The following is a 22920-nucleotide window of genomic DNA, read 5'->3' as shown; positions in this document are numbered from 1 at the left end:
AGTGAGCACGGTAGGCCTCTGTGCTGAGATCTGAGAGGTGAAGAGAAAGCAAAGATCAGAAGAGCTAGGGCAGAAGAGGAAAGGCCAGCACTGCTAAGATGAGAATGAACTTGGCATTTTCCAGAAACAGAAAGAAGGTTGTGTGGCAGAGTGAGCAGGGGTAAGAGCTGTCGAAGTTGAGGTCAGGGCCGGGCATGGTGGCTCACATGTGTAAACCCAGCACTTTGGGAGGCTGAGGTGGGTGGATCACTTGAGCCCAGGAGTTTAAGGCCAACCTGGGACATCTGAGGCAAGTGAATCACTTTGAGTTCAGGAGTTTGAGACCAGCTTGGGCAACATGGTGAAACCCTGTCTCTACAGAAAAAATTAGCCAGGTGTGGTGGTGTGCATCTACCCAGCTGGTATCCCAGCTATTCAGGAGGCTGAGGTGGGAGGATTGCTTAAGCCTGGGACTCGGAGGTTGCAGTGAACTGTGATCACCACTGCACTCCAGACTGGGTGACAGAGTGAGACCCTGTCTCAAAAAAAAAAAAAATAAAACAAAAGGAGATAATGGGGACAGGAGTGGGCAGGGCCTTGCAGGTGGCTCAGGCTTTAGGGGTTCAGTAAGTAACACCACCTTTTCCTGCCTTTCGAGTCTGAACCACTTGAAAGATGCAGGTGTCAGATTATAAGTGTGAGTGCCTACCCGTGAGATGAGCGTTGCTGTGTGTGGCTAAGCCCCGGCTCTGTGGGTTCACCACCTGCTCAGCAGGCCCAGGTGCCTCCTCTGGTGCTTAGAGCCAGGTTGGAGAAGAGAGCTGAGCTGGGTACACTTGGTTTCTTATTCCAAGCTTACCCATCAGAGAAGAGCCAGAGATGTTCCTCCCATGCTCTTCCCACTCAGAGTTGCAGTAGAAATTCCTTCTCTTTCTGTCTCTCTTTTTTTTTTTTTTTTGAAACGGAGTCTTGATCTGTTGCCCAGGCTGGAGTGGTGCAGTGGTGCAATCTTAGCTCACTGCAACCTCTGCCTCCCAGGATCAAATGATTCTCCTGCCTCAGCCTCCTAAGTAGCTGGGAATACAGGCGTGTGCCACCATGCCTGGCTAATTTTTGTATTTTTAGTAGAGTTGGAGTTTCACCATATTGGTCAGGCTGGTCTCAAACTCCTGACCTTGTGATCTGCCCACCTTGGCCTCCCAAAGTGCTGGGATTACAGGTGTGAGCCACTGCGCCCAACCTTTTTTTTTTTTTTTTTTTTTTTTTTAAATAGAGATGGGGCCAGGCACGGTGTGTCCCATGCCTGTAATCCCAGCACTTTGGGACACCAAGGCGGGAGGATCATCTGAGGTCAGGAGTTCGAGACCAGCCTGGCCAACATGGTGAAACCCCGTCTCTACTAAAAATACAAAGATTAGCTGGACTTGGTGGCACATGCCTATAATCCCAGCTACTCAGGAGGCTGAGGCAGGAGAATCGCTTGAACCCTGGAGTGGGAGGTTGCAGAGAGCCGAGATTGTACCACTGCACTCCAGTCTGGGCAACAGAGAGAGACTCTGTTTCAAAAATAAATATAGATAGATAGATAGGAGGTTGCAGAGAGCCGAGATTGTGCCACTGTACTCCAGCCTGGGCAACAGAGAGAGACTCTGTTTCAAAAATAAATATAGATAGATAGATAGACAGACAGGTAGACAGACAGAGACAGGAGTCTCCCTATGTTGCCAAGACTGGTCTCGAACTCCTGGGCTCAAGCCATCCTACTTCAGCCTCCCAAGTAGCTGGGACCACAGGAATGTGCCACCACACCTAGCTACTTTTTATTTTTTGTAGAGATGGGGGTCTCACTGTGTTGCCCAGGCTGGTCTCTAACTCCTGAGTGCAAATGATCCTCCTGCCTTGGCCTCCCAAAATACTGGGATTACAGGCATGAGCCACCTCACCTGAAATTCCTTCTCCATCTGGCCACATGAGGACTAGGCTATGAGTGTGCCCCTGATGTGGCCCTAGTCAAGGTCTGATTGTCCAATGCTGTGACCACCCCAGCAGCTCCAGCCCAGGACATCAGGGGGCTGGGTTGAACCAGGTAGAAACAGAGATTGGTGAAGTCTCAGAGCCTGTGGGAACAAGGAGGGAAATGAGGTTTGTTTTGCTTGCAGAGAGTGTCTGGAGAGCTGGGGTCAGTTTGGGAGAACATGAGGGTGACTCAACACCAGCCCTGTGCTGGACTCTGCAGGTGGTTCTGGAAGTGCATTGCCGATGCCCCAACCTGGAACAACTCTAGGGCAAAAAAGCTTCCTTTCTTTTTCCTCTCTGCCTTTCCAGTTGGAAGGGAGGGAGCAGCAGGCATTCGTTTTAGTTTTTTTGTTTGTTTTTTGGAGATGCTAGTCTCACTCTGTCACCTAAGCTGGAGTGCAATGGTGCGATCTCAGCTCACTGCAACCTCTGCCTCCAAGGTTTATGCTGCAGCCTGCCTCAGCCTCCTGAGTACCTGGGATTACAGGCACATGCCACCACACCCAGCCAATTTTTATATTTTTAGGAGATGGGGTTTCACCATGTTGGCCAGGCTGGTCTCAAACTCCTGGCCTTAAGTGATCCGCCTGCTTTAGCGTCCCAAAGTGCTGGGATTACAGGTGTGAGCCGCTGCAACTGGCCAGCAGGCATTAATTTTGAAGCAGGTAAGTGTTTACAGGCAGTGCTAGCAGGTGGGGGAAGAAGGCCCTGATCTGTAGCATTTGCAGATTACTATGGTGTAAACACTGTCTCACCACAGCTGGTTTCAAGCTACCAACAGTTTAACAACTGGCTCACAAAATAGTTGAAGATTCAGCATTTGGCTCTCCTGAGCTGTGGCATACCACTGGTTACAGGTGTCTTCTTCCTGGGCTTACCCTATGGAGAATTCATTCTGCCTTAGTGACCTCTAACATGGGCCTTGCCCCAAGGGGTGATGGGGTGATGGGACATCAGACAGAGCTTCTCCCCTTTTGGAACCTCCCCACCCCTAATCATTGCCTTCTCCCAGATAAGGGGCTGGGGGCTTCAGGACTGCCCTCCAATGAAGGCAAAGCATAATCACAATAGCTGACATTATTATTTTATTTTTATTTATTTATTTTGAGACATGGTCTTACTCCATCACCCAAGCTGGAGTGCAGTGGTGTGACTGTAGCTCACTGCAGCCTCGAACTCCTGGGTTCAAGCAATCTTCCCACCTCATCCTCCCCAGCAGCTGGGAATACAGGCATGCACCACCACACCTGGCTAATTTTTAAAAAGAATTATTATTATTATTATTTTGTAAAGACGTGGTCTCACTGTGTTGCCCAGGTTGGTCTCAAACTGCTTGGCTCAAGCGATCCTCCTGCCTCAGCCTCCCGAAGTGGTGAGATTACAGGCGTGAGCCACCACACCCAGCCTACTGAGTGCTTCTTATGTGGCAGGCACTGTGCTCAGTCCTTCATGCATGGACTCCTATAAGCAGCCCACTGAGGGAGGTAGAGATGAAGACACTGAGGCACAGAGAAGTTAAGTTGCCCAAAGCAACATAGCTGGTAAAGTAGAACCTGAGTAATTTTACTCCACAATCTTGCCCAGGATATAAAGCTGCCATGCTGCCATGCAATAGTATCTGAAGGGAGGCCCAGTAACTGGGCCCTATTAGGGGCTGTGAAGGCAATCATGACTCCATCTTGGATGCCAACTGCCATCTTGACTTCTGCTTAACCCAAGTCCTGAGAACAACTCCAACATTTCTAGATTTTTTTTTTTTTTTGAGACGGAGTTTTTGTTTTTGTAGCCCAGGTTGGAGTGCAATGGTGCAATCTTAGCTCACTGCAACCTCTGCCCCCAAGGTTCAAGAGATTCCTGCCACAGCCTTCTGAGTAGCTGGGATTACAGGTGCCCACCACCATACCCAGCTAATTTTTTGTATTTAATAGAAATGGGGTATCACCATGTTGGTCAGGCTGGTCTCAAACTCCTGACCTCAGGTGATCCACCCACCTTGGCCTCCCAAAGTGCTGGGATTACAGGCATGAGCCACTGTGCCCCACCTACTTTTTTTTTTTTTTTTTTGAGACAGAGTCTTATTCTGTCCCTCAGGCTGGAGTGCACTGGCCCAATCTCGACTCACTGTAACCTCCCTCACCTGGGTTGAAGCAATCCTCCCACCTCAGCCTCCCAAGTAATTGAGACTACAGGTGCACACTACCATGCCTGGTGGTTTTTTGTTTTTTTTTGTTTTTTGTTTTAAGACATAGGGTTTCGTCATGTTGCCCAGGCTGGTCTTGAACTCTTGGGCTCAAGCCATCCGCCCACCTTGGCCTCCCAAAGTGCCGGGATTACAGGCATGAGCCACTGCACCCAGCCAGGATTTCTACTTTATTTACTGTTCTTGTGTAAGAACATATACTCGCCATAGATCCTGCCCTTGGACCAAAGCAGCCTTGATGTTATTGTATAAATTACAGGCTATGACACATATCACATTCTTACCTGTCTGGAGGGTTAACTTGGCCTACACATTCTTTAGGAAAAAAAGAAAAAATTTTTTTTCGAGACAGGGTCTTGCTTTGTTGCCCAGGCCAGAGCGCATCATGGCTCATCTCAGCCTTGACCTCCAGGGCTGTAGTGTTCCTTACCCTCTCAGCCACACAAGTACCTGGGACTATAGGCACATGCCACCATGCCCAGCTAATTTTTCTTTTTTTGTAGAGATGGGGTCTCACCATATTGCCCAGGCTGGTCTCAAAGTTTTGGGCTCAAGCGATCTGCCTGCCACAGCCTCCCAAAGTGCTGGGATTACAGGTGTGAACTACTCACCATGCCCAGCCCCTACAGCTTCACTGAGGTATAATTAACATGTAATAAATTGCACATATGGCCGAGCGCGGTGGCTCACGCCTGTAATCCCAACACTGGGAGGCAGAGGCAGGCGGATCACCTGAGGTCGGGAGTTCGAGACCAGCCTGACCAACATGGAGAAACCCCGTCTCTACTAAAAATACAAAATTAGCCGGACGTGGTGGCACATGTCTGTAATCCCAGCTACTCGGGAGGCTGAGGCAGGAGAATCGCCTGCACCTGGGAGGCGGAGGTTGCGGTGAGCCGAGTTCACACCATTGCACTCCAGCCTGGGCAACAAGAGCGAAACTCCATCTCAAAAAAAAAAAAAAAAAAAAAGTTTAAATTTACCTATAGCGTGGAAGCTTCCTGCTTTGAGTTGTCCTGCTTTTCTGGACCAAGCCAATGTATTTATTAAATGTGTTTGATTGATGTCTCATGTCTCCCTAAAATATATAAAACCAAGCTGCACCCCAACCACTTTTGTCACATGTTCTCAGGACATCCTGAGGGCTGTGTCGTGGGCCATGGTCACTCATATTTGGCTCAGAATAAATCTCTTCAAATATTTTACAGAGTTTGACTCTTTGTCAACCATTGCCTTTGCAAAAATAATAATCAGGACAGTCGAGGTGGCTCACGCCTGTAATTCCAACATTTTGTGAGGCTGAATGAACTCCAGAATGGGCAGGTCATTTGAGCCTGGGGAGGTCGAGGCTGCAGTGAGCTGTGATTGCACCTCTGCACTCTAGCCTGGGTAACAGAGTGAGACCCTGTCTCAAAAAAATATATATCAGAAAATTATGACAGTGAAAGAGATCTGAGCCAATCCACCCCCCATCTTCCCTTTCCCTTAATATTTCCTGGGCTATTGGGCTGAGGTAACTTTAAGAAACATTTAGGCTATAGTTTAGGTGATAATAAGCTTTGCCTAAAACTCAATCGCTTTGGTAAAACTAATGGGGAGCCATCAGCAGGAGAGGAGCCTGATTCCTGCAAAGGCGCAGAAATGTATGTCAGCCACTATTCCAGAGGTTATGAGATATGCAACTTCCCCAATTACTCCTGCAAATAACACCACTATTGCAGAACCCCAGATTGGCCTTTGGAGATACCCTTTCAGGTTTTATTGCATGTCTGACACCTAACACTCCTCATGGACCCGTCAACCCTGCTCCTATGGCCCCACCCAAAATCGATTCAGCCTGTAGGAGGAAGGCTTCGACCCCCCTATGATTGCATCTGCCCCAACCAATCAGCAGCAAGCACCTGTTACTCTGCCATCCCCACCCGTTCCCCCAAACTGTCTTTGGAAAACCCCTAACCTAGGAGCTTTGAGATGATTTGAGTAGGAACTTCGACTCCCACGTGGCATGGCCAGCCTCATGTCCACTAAACTCTTCCTTTACTACAATGCCATTGTCTTTCTTTATGCAGTGGGCAGGAAGAACCCTCCGGCAATTACAGCTTGAGCCCAGGAATTCGATGCCAGCCTAAGCAATGTCGACGAAAAGCGTCAAACTCTGTAAAATATTTTAAGAGATTCATTCTGAGCCAAATATGAGTGACCATGGCCGGTGATACAGCCCTCAGGAGGCCAGGAGAACATGTGCCCAAGGTGACTGGGGTGCAGTTGGTTTTGTACATTTTAGGGAGACATGAGACTTCAATCAAATACATTTAAGAAATATATTGGCCGGGCGCGGTGGCTCACGCCTGTAATCCCAGCCCTTTGGTAGGCCGAGGTGGGCGGATCACATGAGGTCAGAGTTCGAGACCAGCCTAACCAAGATGGTGAAACCCCGTCTCTACTAAAAATACAAAATTAGCCGGGTGTGGTGGCACGCGCCAGTTATCCCAGCTACTCAGGAGGCTGAGGCAGGAGAATCGCTTGAACCAGGGAGGCGGAGGTTGCAGTGAGCGGAGATGGCACCACTGCACTCCAGCCTGGGTGACAGAGCGAGACACCGTCTCAAAAAAAAAAAAAAAAAAAAAGGAAAAGAAATACATTCATTTGTTCCAGAATGGCAGGACAGCTCAAACCGGGAGCTGGGGTGGGGTGGGAGTGGGGATTCCAGCTTATAGGGAGATTAAAACTTTTTTTCTTTTTTTGAGAGGAGGCTTGAGGTTGTGGAGACCCAAGTTCTTTTTTTTTTTTTTCTTTTTTCTTTTTTGAGATGGAGTCTCGCTCTTGTTGCCCAGCCTGGAGTGCAATGGCACCATCTCGGCTCACTGCAACCTCCACCTCCCGGGTTCAAGCGATTCTCCTGGCTCAGCCACCAGAATAGCTGGGATTACAGGCGCCCGCCACCATGCCCGGCTAATTTTTTTTTTTTTTTTTTTCGGAGACGCAGTCTCGCTCTGTCGCCCAGGCTGGAGTGCAGTGGCACGACCTCAGCTCACTGTAACCTGCGCCTACCGGGTTCCAGCAATTCTCCTGCCGCAGCCTCCTGAGTAGCTAGGATTACAGGTGTGTGCCACCACGACCGGCTAATTTTTGTATTTCTAGTAGAGACGGGGTTTCGTCATGTTGGCCAGGCGGGAGACCCAAGTTCTTATTTCCAGAGGAAGCCTCCAGGTACTAGACTTCAGAGAGAATAGGTTGTAAAATGTTTATCCGACAGACCTGGGGGCGTGGCTTCCAATGAAGACCAGCCCCAGAAGGCCGGGCTGGGAGACTGCGAAGTCGGAGGGGTTGAGGGGACTTCAGGCAGAGTGGGTGGAGCAAAGGAGAGGGCTCAGGCTTGGGGGCGGGACTTGGGTGGGTCCTCCATTCTGGTTGGCCAAGCCTCTATGTCCCAAATAAAAGTCTCTACCTTCCCGAGAACTTATTACAATAGAACACCAGATTTCCAGAGGTATCTGCCAGTCCACAGAGTGAATCACGTTTCCATTCATCCCGTTTCTTCTATAGGCCCTTGAAGAGAGTTTTAACATTTTCTTCTTAAATCGGTTGTATCTTTCGGTGAGGTTAACTCCTAGAGATTACATATAAATACATTTAGGTTTTTTGCTCTTTTTTCCAACCGATGGTTATTGAGGAGTTCTGAGAGATGAGAAATGTGCTGATTTAAATCACAAATGTAGGCCAGACGCAGTCGCTCACACCTGTAATCCTGGCACTTTGGGAGGTTGAGGCAGGGTCCTTTGAGCCCAGGAGTTCTAGACCAGCCTGGGCAACATGGGGAGACCCTGTCTCTATGAAACATTAAAATTAAAATTAAAAAAAGAAAAATAAATAGCCCGGGCGCGATGGCTCAAGCCTGTAATCCCAGCACTTTGGGAGGCCGAGGCGGGTGGATCACCTGAGGTCAGGAGCTCGAGACCAGCCTGAACAATATTGTGAAACCCGCTTATACTAAAAATACAAAAAATTAGTTGGGCGTGGTGGCGGGCGCCTGTAATCCCAACTACTTGGGAGGCTGAGGCACCAGAATAGCTTGAATCCGGGAGGCGGAGGTTGCAGTGAGCCGAGATGGTGCCATTGCACTCCAGCCTGGGCGACAAGAGCAAAACTCTGTCTCAAACGAAACAAAACAAACCAAAAACCCAATAAAATACAAAAATTAGCTGCGCGTGGTGGTGCACACCTGTAATCCCAGCTACTCGGGAGGCTGAGGCAGGAGAATCGCTTCAACCTGGGAGGCGGAGGTTGCAGTGAGCCGAGATGGCGCCACTGCACTCCAGCCTGGGTGACAGACTGAGACTCCTTCTCTATATAAAAAAAAAAAGAAATAGAAAAAAGAAAAATGAATAGGCCGGGCACGGTGGCTCACGCCTGTAATCCCAGCACTTTGGGAGGCCGAGGCGGACGGATCACTTGATGTCAAGGGTTCGAGACCAGCCTGGCTAACACGGTGAAACCTCGTTTCTACTAAAAATACAAAAAGTTATCCGGGCATAGTGGTGCGTGCTTGTAATCCCAGCTAGTCGGGAGGCTGTGGCAGGAGAATTGCTTGAACTCGGAAGGCGGAGTTTGCAGTGAATCAAGATCACACCACTGCACTCCAGCCTGGGTAACAGAGGGAGACTCCGTCTCTTAAAAAAAAAAAAAGGAAAATAAATAAATAAAGTAGATCACAGATATAAAATAGTGTCCAGATGAAACAATAGATGCCCAACATCCTGGAATGGGACATCAATTAAAATAATAAAAATAGAAAAGAACAAGAGATGCCCAGCAAATAGTTATTTTCACTTTCCCCCTAACGAAGGGTGAAGAGGTCTACAAATGTTCGCTGTTTCTCTTAATTCCTGTGTTTTGAGAATTAAGGATTTATAAGGCAAACCAAGTGATGCGCTGTTGTCTTCTGGAGACCTATGGTATTACATTTCATCTCAAGCAGGTGCTTTTTGAAACTTACCTTTAAACCTTCCTTCCCTATTGGAAAGTTATCACTTGAAAAAGCATTTTCATCATACCTGTAATCCCAGCACTTTGGGAGGCTGAGGTGGACGGATAACCTGAAGTCAGGAGTTCCAGACCAGCCTGGCAAACATGGTCAAACCTCGTCTCTACTAAAAGTACGAAAATTGGCTGGGCACAGTGGCTCACACCTATAATCCTAGCACTTTGGGAGGCTGAGGCAGGTGGATCACCTGAGGTCAGGAGTTCAAGACCAGCCTGGTCAACATGATAAAACCCCATCTTGGCCGGGTGCAGTGACTCACGCCTGTAATCCCAGCACTTTGGGAGGCCAAGGTGCTCGGATCACGAGGTCAGGAGATTGAGACCATCCTGGCTAACACAGTGAAATCCCGTCTGTACTAAAAATACAAAAAAATTACCTGGGCGTGGTGGCGGGCGCCTGTAGTCCCAGCTACTCAGGAAGCTGAGGCAGGAGAGTGGTGTGAACCTGGGAGGCGGAGCTTGCAGTGAGCCGAGATCGCGCCACTGCACTCCAGCCTGGGCGACAAAGTGAAACTCCATCTCAAAAAAAAAAAAAAAAAAAAAAAAAAGAAACCCCATCTCTACTAAAAATACAAAAAATTTGCCAGGTGTGTTGGTGGGCCCCTGTAATCCCAGCTACTTGGGAGGCTGAGGCAGGAGAATCGCCTGAACCCAGGAGGCAGAGGTTGCAGTGAGCCGAGATAGTGCCATTGCACTCCAGCCTGGGCAACAAGAGCAAAACTCAATCTCAAAAAAAAAAAAAGTACAAAAATTAGCTGGTGTGGTGGTGCTCGCCTGTAATCTCAGCTATTCCTGTGGCTGAGGCATAAGAATTGCTTGAACTCACGAGGGTTCAAGTTGCAGTGATCTGAGATCGTGCCACTGCACTCCAGTCTGGGCAACAGAGCAAGGGGCCAGCAAAAAAAAAAAAAAAAAAAAAAAAAAGCCTTTTCCAAGCTGGGATGGGGATGGAACAACAGTTTGACAGATGAGAAAACTGGGACTCAGAGTCATCTACACACAGTATTTCCACTTCATCTCCAGGAAATGACTGAAGGAATTTAGGGGATGTCTGTCAATTTCTGAGGAAAGACAGAACAGCAAGTGCAAGGGCCCTGAGGCAGGAAGGCAGGACAATGCTTCTGTAACAGCAGAAGCCCTGTGTCTGAAATGGTTTAAGTGAGTTGGGTAGGATGGAGACTAGCAGGAAGGAAGTCAATTATCAGTCAGATCATATGGGGCCATGAGAACAACTAAACATTTTGGGTTTTACTATGAGTGCAATGCAAAGTCATAGAAGGGTCTGAGCTACTGGAGCAATATTATCTGATATATATTTTAAGAATATCTGTCTGTCATTTGTACAACTCTTGGGAATCAAAGGTAGAATCAGGGAGCGTAATTGGAAAGTTAAGGCAATAATCCCGATGAGAAGAAAGTGGTTTGGAAAGTTGGTAGCAGGGGAGAACAGAGGGGTTGTGGCATGGTCTGAGGCTAAAGTGAAGGTAGATCCAAGAGCTATCTGCTGATGGATTTTCTTTCTTTTTTTTTCCTTTTTTTTAGAGACAGTCTCACTCTGTCACCCAGACTGGTGTGCAATGGCACAATCATAGCTCACCGCAGCATGGAACTCCTGGACTCAGGTGATTCTTCCACCTCAGCCTCCTCAGTAGCTGGGACTACAGGCGCCCACCACCACAGTCAGCTATTTTTTTTTCTTTTTGTAGAGATGGGATGTCACTATGTTGCCCAAGCTTGGCTCTAACTCCTGGCCTCAATCGATCCTCCTGCCGTGGGCTCCCAAAGTGTGGGATTATAGGCATGAGTTACCAAGCTTGTAACCGCCTAACTGCCTAGAGCTGATTTACCAATACAGGAAATTGCAATAAAGAAAGAGTTTCATTCATGCAGAGCCAGCTAGCCGTACAGGAGACCAAAATTTTACTATTATTCAGATCAGTCTCCCTGAAAACTCTGGGATCAGGGGGTTTGTTTGTTTGTTTTGAGACAGAGTTTCGCTCTTGTCACCCAAGCTAGAGTGTAATGGCGCCACCTCAGCTCACTGTAACCTCTTCCTCCTGGGTTTAAGAGATTCTCCTGCCTCAGCCTCCCGAGTAGCTGGGATTACAGGTGGCCGCCACCACGCCTGGCTAATTTTTCTATTTGTTTTTTTTAGTAGAGACGGGGTTTCACCATGTTGGCCAGGCTGGTCTTGAACTCCTGACCTCAGGTGATCCACCTGCCTTGGCCTCCCAATGTGCTGGGATTACAGGCGTGATCCACCGCACCTGGCCTGAGATCGTGGTTTTTAAGGATAATTTGAGATAATTTTAAGGATAATAGGGGGTCTGAAAGTGGGAAGTGCTGATTGGTTGAGTCTGAGATGAAATCACAGGGAGTGGAACCTGTCCTGTTGCTCTGAGTCAGTTCCTGGGTGGGAACCACAAGACCAGATGAGCCGGTTTATCCATCTAGGTGGCCTCAACTTGTGCACTGAAACACAGGGTCTGCAAAATATCTCAAGCACTGATTCTAGGTTTTACGATAGTGATTTTATCCCCAGGAGCAATTTGGGGAGGTCCAGAATATTGCACCCACCAGCTGCATGACTCCTAAACCATAATTCCTTATCTGTGGCTAATGTGTTAGTCCTGCAAAGGCAGTCTAGTCTCCAGGGAAAAGGAGGTTTGTTTTGGGAAAGCATTATTGTTGTTTTTGTTTCAAAGTTAAACTATAAACTAAGTTCATCCCAAACTTAGTTTGGCCTATGTCCAGGAATGAACAAGGACAGTGTGGAGGTTAGAAGCAAGATGCAGTTAGTTTGGTCAGATCTCTTTCCCTGTAATCAGTTTCTCAGTTATAATTTTTGCAAAGGTGGTTTCAAGCCCAGTACCCAGGGCTCGTAAGAAAGACATTCAGCTAGGCGCGGTGGCTCACGCCTGTAATCCCAGCACTTTGGGAGACCGAGGCGGGTGGATCACGAGGTGAGCAGATCGAGACCATCCTGGCTAACACAGTGAAACCCCGTCTCTACTAAAAACAAAACACAAAAGATTAGCTGGGCGTGGTGGCAGGTGCATGTAGTCCCAGCTACTCGGGAGGCTCAGGCAGGAGAATCGCTTGAACCTGGGAGGCGGAGGTTGCAGTGAGCCGATATCGCGCCACTGCACTCCAGCCTGGGTGACAGAGTGAGACTCCGTCTCAAAAAAAAAAAAAAAAAGACATTCAGGTCGTGCGCGGTGGCTCACCCCTGTAATCCCAGCACTTTGGGAGGCTGAGACGGGCAGATCACATGAGGTCAGGAGTTTGAGACCAGCCTGGCCAACATGGTGAAACTCCATCTCTACTAAAAATAAAAAATTAGCCAGGTGTGGTGGCATGCACCTGTAATCCCAGCTACTCGGGAGGCTGAGGAAGGAGAATCACTTGAACCCGGAGGTGGAGGTTGCAGTGAGCCGAGATCGCGCCACTGCACTCCAGCCTGGGCAACAGAGTGAGACTCAGCTTCAAAAAAAAAAAAAAAAAAAAGAAAGAAAAAAGAAAGACATTCAATTAAGCTTCTTCCTTTTCCCACAGACTCTAGAGTTTAACGTCTTCAGTGGGAATCAGCATGGACGTTCAGAACAGTCCCTCCTTAAACACAAAGACATTTCCTACCTCATACCTCATAATCACATGATAGAAGGGGTGAGAAAGTCTCCACGGCCAATCCCATACAGGGGTGTTCAAGAATACAGTTATGGGTTGTTAGTTTTTGTTTCTGGTTGGGCCTGCAAAGCCTCTTCCTCATCCCTCTTTTCCACTTATCACTAGAAACAGAAACTAAAAACCATGGCTTCAGGCTGCTACAAGTCTAAAACAAAACAAAACAAGACAACAACAACAAAATAAGGCGACTTGGACAAACTTGCTAGTAAATCCATTAACGAAGGCCCCGCCCTCATGATCTAATCACCTCCCTAAGGCCTCATATCCTAATTTCATCACTTCTGCGGTTAGGATTTAAGCATTTGGCTTTGCGGAGTGGTGGTGTGGAGGCAGGACACACACAACATACAACCTTCAGACCATAGTGAGGTAGGAGACTGGGTAGGACTTACTTTGTTTCCTGGTCCCAACAGGATAAAGTGAAGAAGCCACCGGGAACCAGCAGATGGCACCAAAAGCCATCTCTAGTTGCTCTCCTTGCTTGTTAGGGTAAGACACTCCTACCAGAGCCATGACAGTTGATAAGTACCATGGCAACAACATGAAAGTTACCATTCACTTCCACAACAATCACCTGGAAGTTATAGCCTCCTTTCTAGAAAGTTCTGCATGGCACACCCCTTAATTTGCATGTAATTAAAAGTGAGTATAACTATAGCTAGCCAACAGCACAAAATGCTGATTCTGGGCACACTGCATAGGTTTTAGCTGTACTCTGGAAAAAGCAACTCTGAGTGAATGAAAGATCCTTGTGTAGCACCACCAGTTGAATTCTTTCCTGGGTGAATCCCCAATGATGGCACTTACCTGCATCAGTAGCACACTTCTATTTCCTTAGGCACCTGCTTATAAGCTAAAACTGCCTGCTTGCCAAAAGGATATAAGAATTTTTATTTTTCATTTGGATAAAGGCAATTAGTTAACACAAATGGCCACCCCAATTACCAAACTTAGGATGAACTTCAACAACATTGTTAACACAGTCATTGTGTTGTGAATTCTTTTTTTTTTTTTTTTTTTTTTTTTTTTTGAGACAGAGTCTTGCTCTGTTGCCCAGGCTGGAGTGCACTGGCGAGATCTCGGCTCACTGCAACCTCCACCTCCTGGGTTCAAGCGATTCTCCTGCCTTAGTCTCCCAAGTAGCTGGGACTCAACACACCCAGCTAATTCTTTTGTATTTTTAATAGACACAGGGTTTCACCATGTAGCCAGGCTGGTCCTGACCTCCTGAATTCAGGTGATCCATCCACCTCAGCCTCCCAAAGTGCTGGGATTACAGGCATGAAAACCAGCACACCTGGCCCACCTGTGCACTGTTAGTGAGACTATAAAACGGTGCAGCAGCTATGAAAACCAGTATGGCAGTGGTTCAAAAAATTAAAATTGGTATTATCACATGGTCTAGCAATCCCACTTCTGGGTATATATCTAAAAGAATGGAAAACAGGCTCTCAAAAAGATATTTGACCACCCACGTTTATAGCAGCATTATTCATAATGGCCAAGAACACACCTCATTCATAAGGGTGTATTTTGGGGCTTTCTATTCTATTTATTGGTTTAATTTATTTACCACTACACCAATATTACTGTCTTTTTTTTTGCGACGGAGTCTCGCTCTGTCGCCCAGGCTGGAGTGCAGTGGCACGATCTCTGCTCACTGCAAGCTCCACCTCCCGGGTTCATGCCATTCTCCTGCCTCAGCCTCCTGAGTAGCTGGGACCACAGGTGCCTGCCACCACGCCCGGCTATTTTTTGTATTTTTAGTAGAGACGGGGTTTCACCGTGTCAGCCAGGATGGTCTCGATCTCCTGACCTGGTGAACCGCCCGCCTCGGCCTCCCAAAGTGTTGGGATTACAGGCGTAAGCCACCGTGCCCGACCCTGTCTTTCTATTTCTTAATGTCTGTAGGGTAAGTGCCAACAGTTCTTCAGGAGTATTTTGTACCTCCACATACATACATTTTATTATAAGTAGATCAGGTTCCTCATCAAACATGTTATTTTGACTGAAAACTTGTTAACTTTCTATATTAAGTAAGAAGAATTCAAGTCTTTATATTGAAACTTCTAATCCATCAACAAGGAAGGTCTATCCATTGATCTAGGTCATCTTTGATTTCTTTCAATAGTAGTTTACAAATTTCTCGGAAGAGATATTGCATACTTTTTTGTTGTATTTATTTCTACTTATTTTATTGCTGTTGTAATATTGCTGTTAAAAGAGACAAGTCGGCCGGGTGCGGTGCCTCACGCCTGTAATCCCAGCACTTTGGGATGCCGAGGCCAGCGGAATACCTGAGGTCAGGAGTTCCAGACCGGCCTTGCCAACGTGGCGAAGCCCCGTCTCTACTAAAAACATACAAAAATTAGCTGGGCGTGGTGGCATGCGCCTGTAATCCCAGCTACTCAGGGGCCTGAGGCAGGAGAATCGCTTGAACCAGGGAGGTGGAGGTTGCAGCAAGCCAAGATCAAGCCACTGCATTCCAGCCTGGGCGACAGAGCAAGACTCCGTCAAAAAAAAAAAAAAAAAAAAAAAAAGAGAGAGACAAGACAATTATCTTTGCATATTGAGTTTTTAGCCACTATTCTTGCTAACCCGCACATTATGTGTAACAATTTAGATTCTTTTGGATCTCCCACTTAGACAATTATGTTGTCTGTAAATAATGGCAGAAAAGAAATGTAGATAATGTTTCTTCCAATTTCTTTTTCAGACAGGGCCTTCCTCTGTCGCCCCAGCTGGAGTGCAATGTTGCCATCTCAGCTCACTACAACCTCTGCCTCCGGGCTCAAGTGATCCTCCTGTGTCAGTCTCCGAAGTAGCTGGGACTATAGACATGCATCACCATGCCTGGCTAATTTTTGTATTTTTTAAAATTGAGACAGGGTTTTGCCATCTTGCCCAGGCTGGTCTCAAACTCCTGAACTCAAAGCGATCTTCCTTCCAAAGTGTTAGGATCTCAGGCGTGAGCCGCGCGTGGCCGTAACTACAATGCTTGATAGAATTCGTGAGAGTGGGCATCGTTGCTGTACTCCTGAGCTTAGAACAGTTTTCAGTATTTCACTACAATGTTAGCTGTAGATTTTTTTACATGCTCTTTATCAGTTTGTTGAGAGATGTTGAGAATGGGCCCGGTGCGGTGGTTCATACCTGCAATCTCAGCTCTTTGGGACGCCAAAGAGGGAAGATCGCTTGAGCTCAGGAGTTCGCGACCAGCCTGGGCAATATAGTGTGACCTCCCATCTCCACGAAAAATTTAAAAATTAGCCTGCTGTGGTGTCACGAGCCTGTAGTTCCAGCTACTGTTGAATTTGAGGGAAGATCGCTTGAGCCCAGGGATTGGAGGTTTCCGTGAGCCGTGATCGAGCCACTGCACTCCAGCCTGTGCGACAGAGGAAGACCCTGACCTATAAAAACGCAAACAAAGTAGTGAAGAGAGATGTATCAGTTATCTACTGCCGTATAACAAACCACCAGGAAACAGCGCATCCTCGTACAAGCCGCATGAATGCAGAGGAAAGCGAGCAGAGGCATTTCGAGGTCCCGCCCAACAGACTCCCTCCATCGTGGTCCCGCCCCCACCCCAAGCCGCCGCCGGGTTCTGCCCCCACGGTGCCCAGTGAAGCCGGAGGGACGGGGTCCAACCGTTGTCGGCTGCGCGGAAACTGGGACTTCTCCCCAGGGTCGTGGAGGACGCGGCCGCCGACCCTCCCACCGCCTCACGCCTCGGAGACCGGGTCCAGAGCCCTCAGCCGCTTCCGAGCCCCGAGAGGGGAATCAGAAGTGCGCGTGATCAGAGCGGCACCCCCTTCCCAGGAACCGCAGCTGAACCAACGGTTTCCCCTGCACCAGCCTTTGCGACCAGGTGGGGCTTCAGGTGCGGCTTCGCCACGTGGAGGCAGGAAGACCCGGGCAGGGACTCGGTGAGGGGGAGACGGGGGTGGGGTCTTGGTGACCGAGAGACGGGGGCGGAGACTTGGTGAGGGGAGACGGAGGCGGGGACTCGGTGAGAGGATTGACGGGGGCGGGGACTCGGTGAGGGAGAGACAGGGGCGGGAATCGGTGAGGGGAGACGGAGGCGGGGAATCGGTGAGGGGAGAGACGGGGGCGGGGACTCGGTGACGGGGAGACGGGGGCGGGAATCGGTGAGGGGACGACGGGGGCGGGGACTCGGTGAGGGAAGAGAAGAGGGCGGGACTCGGTGAGGGGGAGACGGGGGCGGGGACTTGGTGAGCGGACGACGGGGGCGGGGACTCGGTGAGGGGAGAGAAGAGGGACTAGGTGAGGGGGAGACAGGGACTCGATGACAGACAGGGCAGGGTCTCGGTGAGGGGAACCGGGGGCCGGGGACTTCGTAAGGGAGAGACAGGGGTGGGGATTAGGTGATGGGGAGACTGGGACGAGAACTCGGTGAGGGAGAGACGGGGGGCGGGGACTCGGTGAGGGGCTGTCAGAGGCGGGACCTCAGTGAGGGGAGAGAAGAGGGCGGGATCTCAGTGAAGGGAGAGAAGAGGGCGGGGACTCGATGAGGGGGAGACGGGGCCGGGGACTCGATGACGGGAAGGGTAGGGGACTCGATGAAGGAGAGACGGTGGCGGGGACTCGATGAGGGAGAGGCGGGGGCGGGGTCTCGGTGAGGGGAGAGACAGGGATGGGAACTCGGTGAGGGGGAGGCGGGGGCGGGGACTCGGTGAGGGAGAGGCGGGGGTGGAGACTTGATGAAGGATAGACGGGGCGGGTACTCGATGAGGGGGAGTCGGGGGCGGGGTCTCCGTGAGGGGAGAGACGAGGGCGGGGTCTCAGTAAGGGAGAGGCAGGGATGGGGACTCAGTGAGGGGGAGGCGGGGGCGGGGACTCGGTGAGGGCGAGGCGGGGCGGAGACTCGATGACGGAGGACGGGGGCGGAGACTCGATGAGGGCGAGACGGGGGCGGGGTCTCAGTGGGGGAGAGACAGGGATGGGGACTCGGTGAGGGCGAGGCGGGGGCGGGGACTTGGTGAGGGCGAGATGGGGGAGCGGTCTCGGTGACGGGGAGACGGGGTAAGGTCTCTGTGAGCGTAGATGGGGCTGGTGTCTCAGTGAAGGCGCAATGGGGGCGGGGATTCAGTGAAGGCGGAGACCGAGGTGGAGTCTCCCTGAGTGTGGAGATGAAGGTAGAGACTCCGTGTAGGATAGGAGGACCGGGACTCAGTGATGCGGGAGTCTGTGGGCGGAGGATTACCCAGGTGCCCAGGCAAGAGACTGAAGGCACAAACTGTTTCAGTATAATAAAGAAAACAGTTAGAATAAGAATAGTTATAAATTAGATATAGAGATGATCATGGACATTATCAATCATTAGTATGAACATTATTAATCATTAGCTTTTAATATTACTCTTTGTTGTATTACTAACATAACCAAGGAATAACGGGCGGGTGTAGGATCAGGTGCTGAAGGGACATTGTGAGAAGTGACCAAGAAAGCAAGAGGTGAGCCCTCTGTCAGGCCCGCATAAGGGCCGCTTGAGGGCTCCTTGGTCAAGCGGTAATGCCAGTGCCTGGGAAGGCACCCGTTACTTAGCAGACCATGAAAGGGAGTCTCCCTTTCCTTGGAGGAGTCAGGGAACACTCTGCTCCACCAGCTTCTTGTGGGAGGTTGGATATTATCCAGGCCTGCCCGCAGCCATCCGGAGGCATAAACCCCTCCCTGTGGTGCTGTGCTTCAGTGGTCACTTTTCTTGTCCACTTTCATATTCCTCCGGTACTCCTGGTTCCTCTTTGAATTTCTTAGAAGATAGTGGTAGAAGAAATAGTGAAAGTCTTAAAGTCTTTTATCTTTCTGATAAGTGCGTAAAAGAAAACACTGGGCCGGGCGCAGTGGCTCATGCCTGTAATCCCAGCACTTTGGGAGGCCGAGGCGGGTGGATCACGAGGTCAGGACTTCAAGACCAGCCTGGCCAAGAAGGTGAAACCCCATCTCCACTAAAAATACAAAAAATTAGCTGGGTGCAGTGGCAGGCGCCTGTAATCCCAGCTACTTGGGAGGCTGAGGCAGGAGAATCGCTTGAACTCGGAGGGCGGAGGTTGCAGTGAGCTGAGATCGGGCCATTGCACTACAGCCTGGTGACAGAGTGAGACTCTGTCTCGGGGGAAAAAAAAAAAAAAAAAAAGAAAATGCTGATGTATGCTGTCTTCCCTCTCTTCTTCAGCTACCTATAAGGGAAGGGCCCCCTGTCCTATGATCACGTGACTTGCTTGACCTTATCAATCACTTGGATGACTCACCCTCCTTACCCTGCCCCCTTGTCTTATATACAATAAATATCAGTGCATCCGCCATTTGGGGCCACTACTGGTCTCTGCGTCTTGGTGGCAGTGGTCCTCAGGGCCCAGCTGTCTTCTCTTTATCTCTTTGTCTTGTGTCTTTATTTCTTATGATCTCTCATCTCCACACATGGGGAGAACACCCGCAAAGCCCTGTAGGGCTGGACTCTACCAGGAGATGGAGCCCGGGACTCAGTTGTGGGGAAAAGAAAGAGAGATCAGATTGTTACTATGTCTATGTAGAAAAGGAAGACATAAATTCCACTTTGATCTGTATTAAGAAACATTGTTTTGCTTTGAGATGCTGTGAGTCTTAACTTTAGCCCCAACCCTGTGCTCACAGAAACATGTGCTGTATTGAATCAAAGTTTAATGGACTTAGGGCTGTGCAGGATGCCTTGTTAACAGTATGTTTGCAGGCAGTATGCTTGGTAAAAGTCATCGCCATTCTCCATTCTCGATTAACCAGGGACACAATGCACTGCGGAAAGCCGCAGGGACCTCTGCCCAAGAAAGCTCTGAGATGGCCTGAGATATGGCCTCATGGGAAAGGAAAGACCTTACCATCCCCCAGCCTGACACCCCTAAAGGGTCTGTGCTGAGGAGGAGTAGTGAAAGAGGGAGGCCTCTTTGCAGTTGAGATAAGAGGAAGGCTTCTCTCTCCTGCTCCTTCCTGGGAATGGAATGTCTCCGTGTAAACTGACCATTCCCATTCGTTCAATTCTGAGATAGGAGAAAACTGCCCTGTGACTAGAGGCGGGATATGCTGGCAGCAATACTGCTCTGTTACTCTTTGCTACACTGAGATGTTTGTGTAAAGTGAAACTTAAATCAGGCCTACGTGCACATCCAGGCACAGTACCTTTCCTTGAACTTATTCGTGATACAGATTCCTTTGCTCACATGTTTCCCTGCTGACCTTCTCCCCACCTGTTGCCCTGCTACACTCCCCTCACTAAGATAGTAAAAATAATGATCAGTAAATACCGAGGAAACTCAGAGACAGCCAGCGGTGCAGGTCCCCTGGGCCCACTGTTCTTTCTCCATACTTTGTCTCTGTGTCTTATTTCTTTTCTCAGCCTCTCATCCCACCTGACGAGAAATACCCAGAGGTGTGGAGGGGGAGGCCCCCTTCACTCGGTGAGGGGACAGACAGAGGTTAGATCTCGGTGAGGGGTGGGCAGAGCAGAGTCATCGAGGGGACAGACGGAGGCAGGGTCTTGGTGATGGAGAGATGGGGGCGGGTTCTCAGAGAAGGATGAGCGCGGGTTCTCGATGAGGTGAGAGACGGGGGCGGGGTCTCAGTGAGGGAGAGATGAGGGCCAGATATTGTGAGGCTGCATATTGCAATGATGCATATTTCCCAGTCTCACTGACTTCTTATGTTTAGGTCAGTATATGAAAAAATCTACATGGGCCTGGACTTTATTTTTTTCTTTCCTTTTTTTTTTTTCAGACGGAGTCTTTTTTCTTATTCTTAAAAAAACAAAAATTCTTAGCTGGGTGCGGTGGCTCATGCCTGTAATACCAGCACTTTGGGAGGCCGAGGTGGGCGGATCACCTGAGGGTGGGAGTTCAAGACTAGCCTGGCCAACATGGAGAAACCCCGTCTCTACTGAAAATACAAAATTAGCCAAGTGTGGTGACACATGTCAGTAATCCCAGCTTCTCGGGCGGCTGAGGAAGGAAAATCGCTTGAACATGGGAGGCGGAGGTTGCAGTGAGCCAAGATCACACCATTGCTCTCCAGCCTGGGCAAGAAGAGTGAAACTCTGTCTCAAAAAAAAAAAAAAATCTTAAAAAAAAATCACCATTATCGAGCTGGATGCAGTGGCTCACTCCTGTAATCCCAGCACTTTGTGAGGCCGAGGCGGGCGGATCGCTTGAGCTCAGAAGTTCCAGACTAGCCTGGGCAACATGGTGAAACCCCGTCTCTACCAAAAATACAAAAATTAGCCGGGCATGGTGGTGTGCAACTGTAGTTCCAGCTACTTGGGGGGCTGAGGTGGGAGGATCCTCTGAGCCCAGGAAGTCGAAGCTGCATTGAGCCATGATCACGTCACTGCACTCCAGCTTGGGTGACAAAGCTAGATCTTGTGTCAAAAACAAAACAAAACAAAGCACCATTATGTCATCATTTTTTATCCAAAAACATAAATTTTGAAGGCCTGGCACAGTGACTCATACCTGTACTCCCAGCACTGGGAGGCTGCAGCAGGACGATAACTTGAGCCCAGGAGTTTGAGGCTGTAGTGAGTTGTGATCGCACCACTGCACTCCAGCCTGGGTGACAGAGTGAGACACTGTCTCAAAAAAACAAACAAAAAACAAACTGATGGTCAGGCGAGGTGGCTCACACCTGTAATCCCAGCGCTCTGGGAGGCTGAGGCCGACGGATCATGAGGTCAGGAGATGGAGAACATGCTGGCCAACATGGTAAAACCTGGTCTCTACTAAAAATACAAAAAATTATCTGGTCGTGGTGGCACGCGCCTGTAGTCCCAGCTATTTGGGAGGCTGAGGCAGGAGAATTGCTTGAACCTGGGAGTCGGTTGCAGTGAGCCGAGATCGCGCCACTGCACTCCAGCCTGGCGACAGAGCAAGACTCTGTCTCAAAAACAAAAAACAAAAAACAAAAACAAAAACAAAAACCTGATTTACTTCTTTTCCCAATTCATTTCAGACCAGAAGACCATGTAGCACCAAAAAGATAGCTGCAAAGCGGAATAAAGTTGGGGAAAACAATCTGCTGGCCGGAAGAGAGTAAGATGCAGGAGGATGATTGCCGGTTCTCCGCAGCACGAGTCAGGGAGGCCATGAGATGGAAGAGCCACCCCACAATGGGAAGAACCTGGAGACAAGGTTCTCCTTGTCTATGCCCAAGAGAAGCCACCCTTCAGGAGAGAGTTTCTGAGTTTCATGAACTTGGGGAACATTCTAAACCTATTCAAAATATGCTTACTCACAGAGAGGTCTCACAAGTAGGCACGTCGTCCATAAATGAGACTCGCATGTTGAATATTTACACAGAATTCAGTTTTTGTTTAGATGACTATCAGAATAAAATATCTGTGTATGAAAAGCCTTATGAATGTCATGACTATAATGGAACCTATGGCAAAGCATTCATCGTACTCAATTTGAAGGAATTCAGACAAGGCAGAAGCAGTCTAGGTGCTCTGAAAATGGCAGCAATTTTTTTTTTTTTTTTGCGACAGAGTCTCGCGTCTTGCTCTGTCACCCAGGCTGGGTTGCAGTGGCATGATCTCGGCTCCTGCAATCTTCTCCTCCCGGGTTCAGGCGATTCTCCCACATCAGCCTCCCAAGTAGCTGGGATTACAGGCATATACCACCACGCCCGGCTAATCTTTGCATTTTTAGTAGAGATGAGTTTTCACCATGTTGGCCATGCTGGTCTCAAACTCCTGACCACAACTGATCCGCCCACTTCGGCCTCCAAATGTGCTGGGATTATAGGCATGAGCCACCACACCCAACCTAAATGGCAGCAGCTTCTAATGTAGCAATGCACTTGCTTGCTTGTCAAGACAGACTTTCCATGGGGGAGAATCCCTATGAGTGCAATAAGAGTGACAAAGTCTTCAGTTGATTAGTTATCCCTTAATTGACAGGCATCGACTCAACGTGGTGAGAAGCCACATGTACATAATCCATGTGGAAAAACCA

At 49.1% G+C, this 22920-nt stretch overlaps 2 long non-coding RNA genes across 2 annotated transcripts, besides 6 other annotated features; one reads left to right on the top strand and one right to left on the bottom strand.

Moving 5' to 3' along the window:
- Positions 1-7310: 7310 nt before the first annotated feature.
- LOC124904635 (uncharacterized) lies at positions 7311-16665 on the bottom strand. The gene is made up of 3 exons (XR_007067134.1): positions 16574-16665; positions 16079-16335; positions 7311-7805 (listed from the first exon to the last, which is right to left on the bottom strand). It is a non-coding gene; the product is annotated as an uncharacterized LOC124904635 (long non-coding RNA).
- Positions 13265-13454: a silencer, noted in NCBI's record as "silent region_10043". NCBI's record gives its function as "represses an Ori minimal core promoter by ATAC-STARR-seq in GM12878 lymphoblastoid cells {active_cell/tissue: GM12878}" and the evidence as "EXISTENCE:reporter gene assay evidence [ECO:0000049][PMID:35858748]".
- Positions 16154-16654: an enhancer, noted in NCBI's record as "H3K27ac hESC enhancer chr19:9903749-9904249 (GRCh37/hg19 assembly coordinates)". NCBI's record gives its function as "activates a minimal SCP1, AML or CMV promoter by ChIP-STARR-seq in primed H9 embryonic stem cells {active_cell/tissue: H9 hESC(primed)}" and the evidence as "EXISTENCE:reporter gene assay evidence [ECO:0000049][PMID:30033119]".
- Positions 16547-22321, top strand: LOC100505555 (uncharacterized). Its single transcript, NR_148545.1, has 2 exons — positions 16547-16793; positions 21917-22321. It is a non-coding gene; the product is annotated as an uncharacterized LOC100505555 (long non-coding RNA).
- Positions 16655-17155: an enhancer, noted in NCBI's record as "H3K27ac hESC enhancer chr19:9903248-9903748 (GRCh37/hg19 assembly coordinates)". NCBI's record gives its function as "activates a minimal SCP1, AML or CMV promoter by ChIP-STARR-seq in primed H9 embryonic stem cells {active_cell/tissue: H9 hESC(primed)}" and the evidence as "EXISTENCE:reporter gene assay evidence [ECO:0000049][PMID:30033119]".
- Positions 16655-17188: a biological region, named in NCBI's record as "H3K27ac hESC enhancer GRCh37_chr19:9903248-9903748".
- Positions 17039-17188: a silencer, noted in NCBI's record as "silent region_10042". NCBI's record gives its function as "represses an Ori minimal core promoter by ATAC-STARR-seq in GM12878 lymphoblastoid cells {active_cell/tissue: GM12878}" and the evidence as "EXISTENCE:reporter gene assay evidence [ECO:0000049][PMID:35858748]".
- Positions 17529-17898: a silencer, noted in NCBI's record as "silent region_10041". NCBI's record gives its function as "represses an Ori minimal core promoter by ATAC-STARR-seq in GM12878 lymphoblastoid cells {active_cell/tissue: GM12878}" and the evidence as "EXISTENCE:reporter gene assay evidence [ECO:0000049][PMID:35858748]".
- Positions 22322-22920: the final 599 nt, after the last annotated feature.

Source organism: Homo sapiens, chromosome 19 (genome assembly GCF_000001405.40).
Source record: "Homo sapiens chromosome 19, GRCh38.p14 Primary Assembly".
NCBI classification, from domain to species: Eukaryota; Metazoa; Chordata; class Mammalia; order Primates; family Hominidae; genus Homo; species Homo sapiens.
Note: the sequence above shows the minus strand (reverse complement) of the source record. Positions and strands in the feature narration are given on the sequence as shown.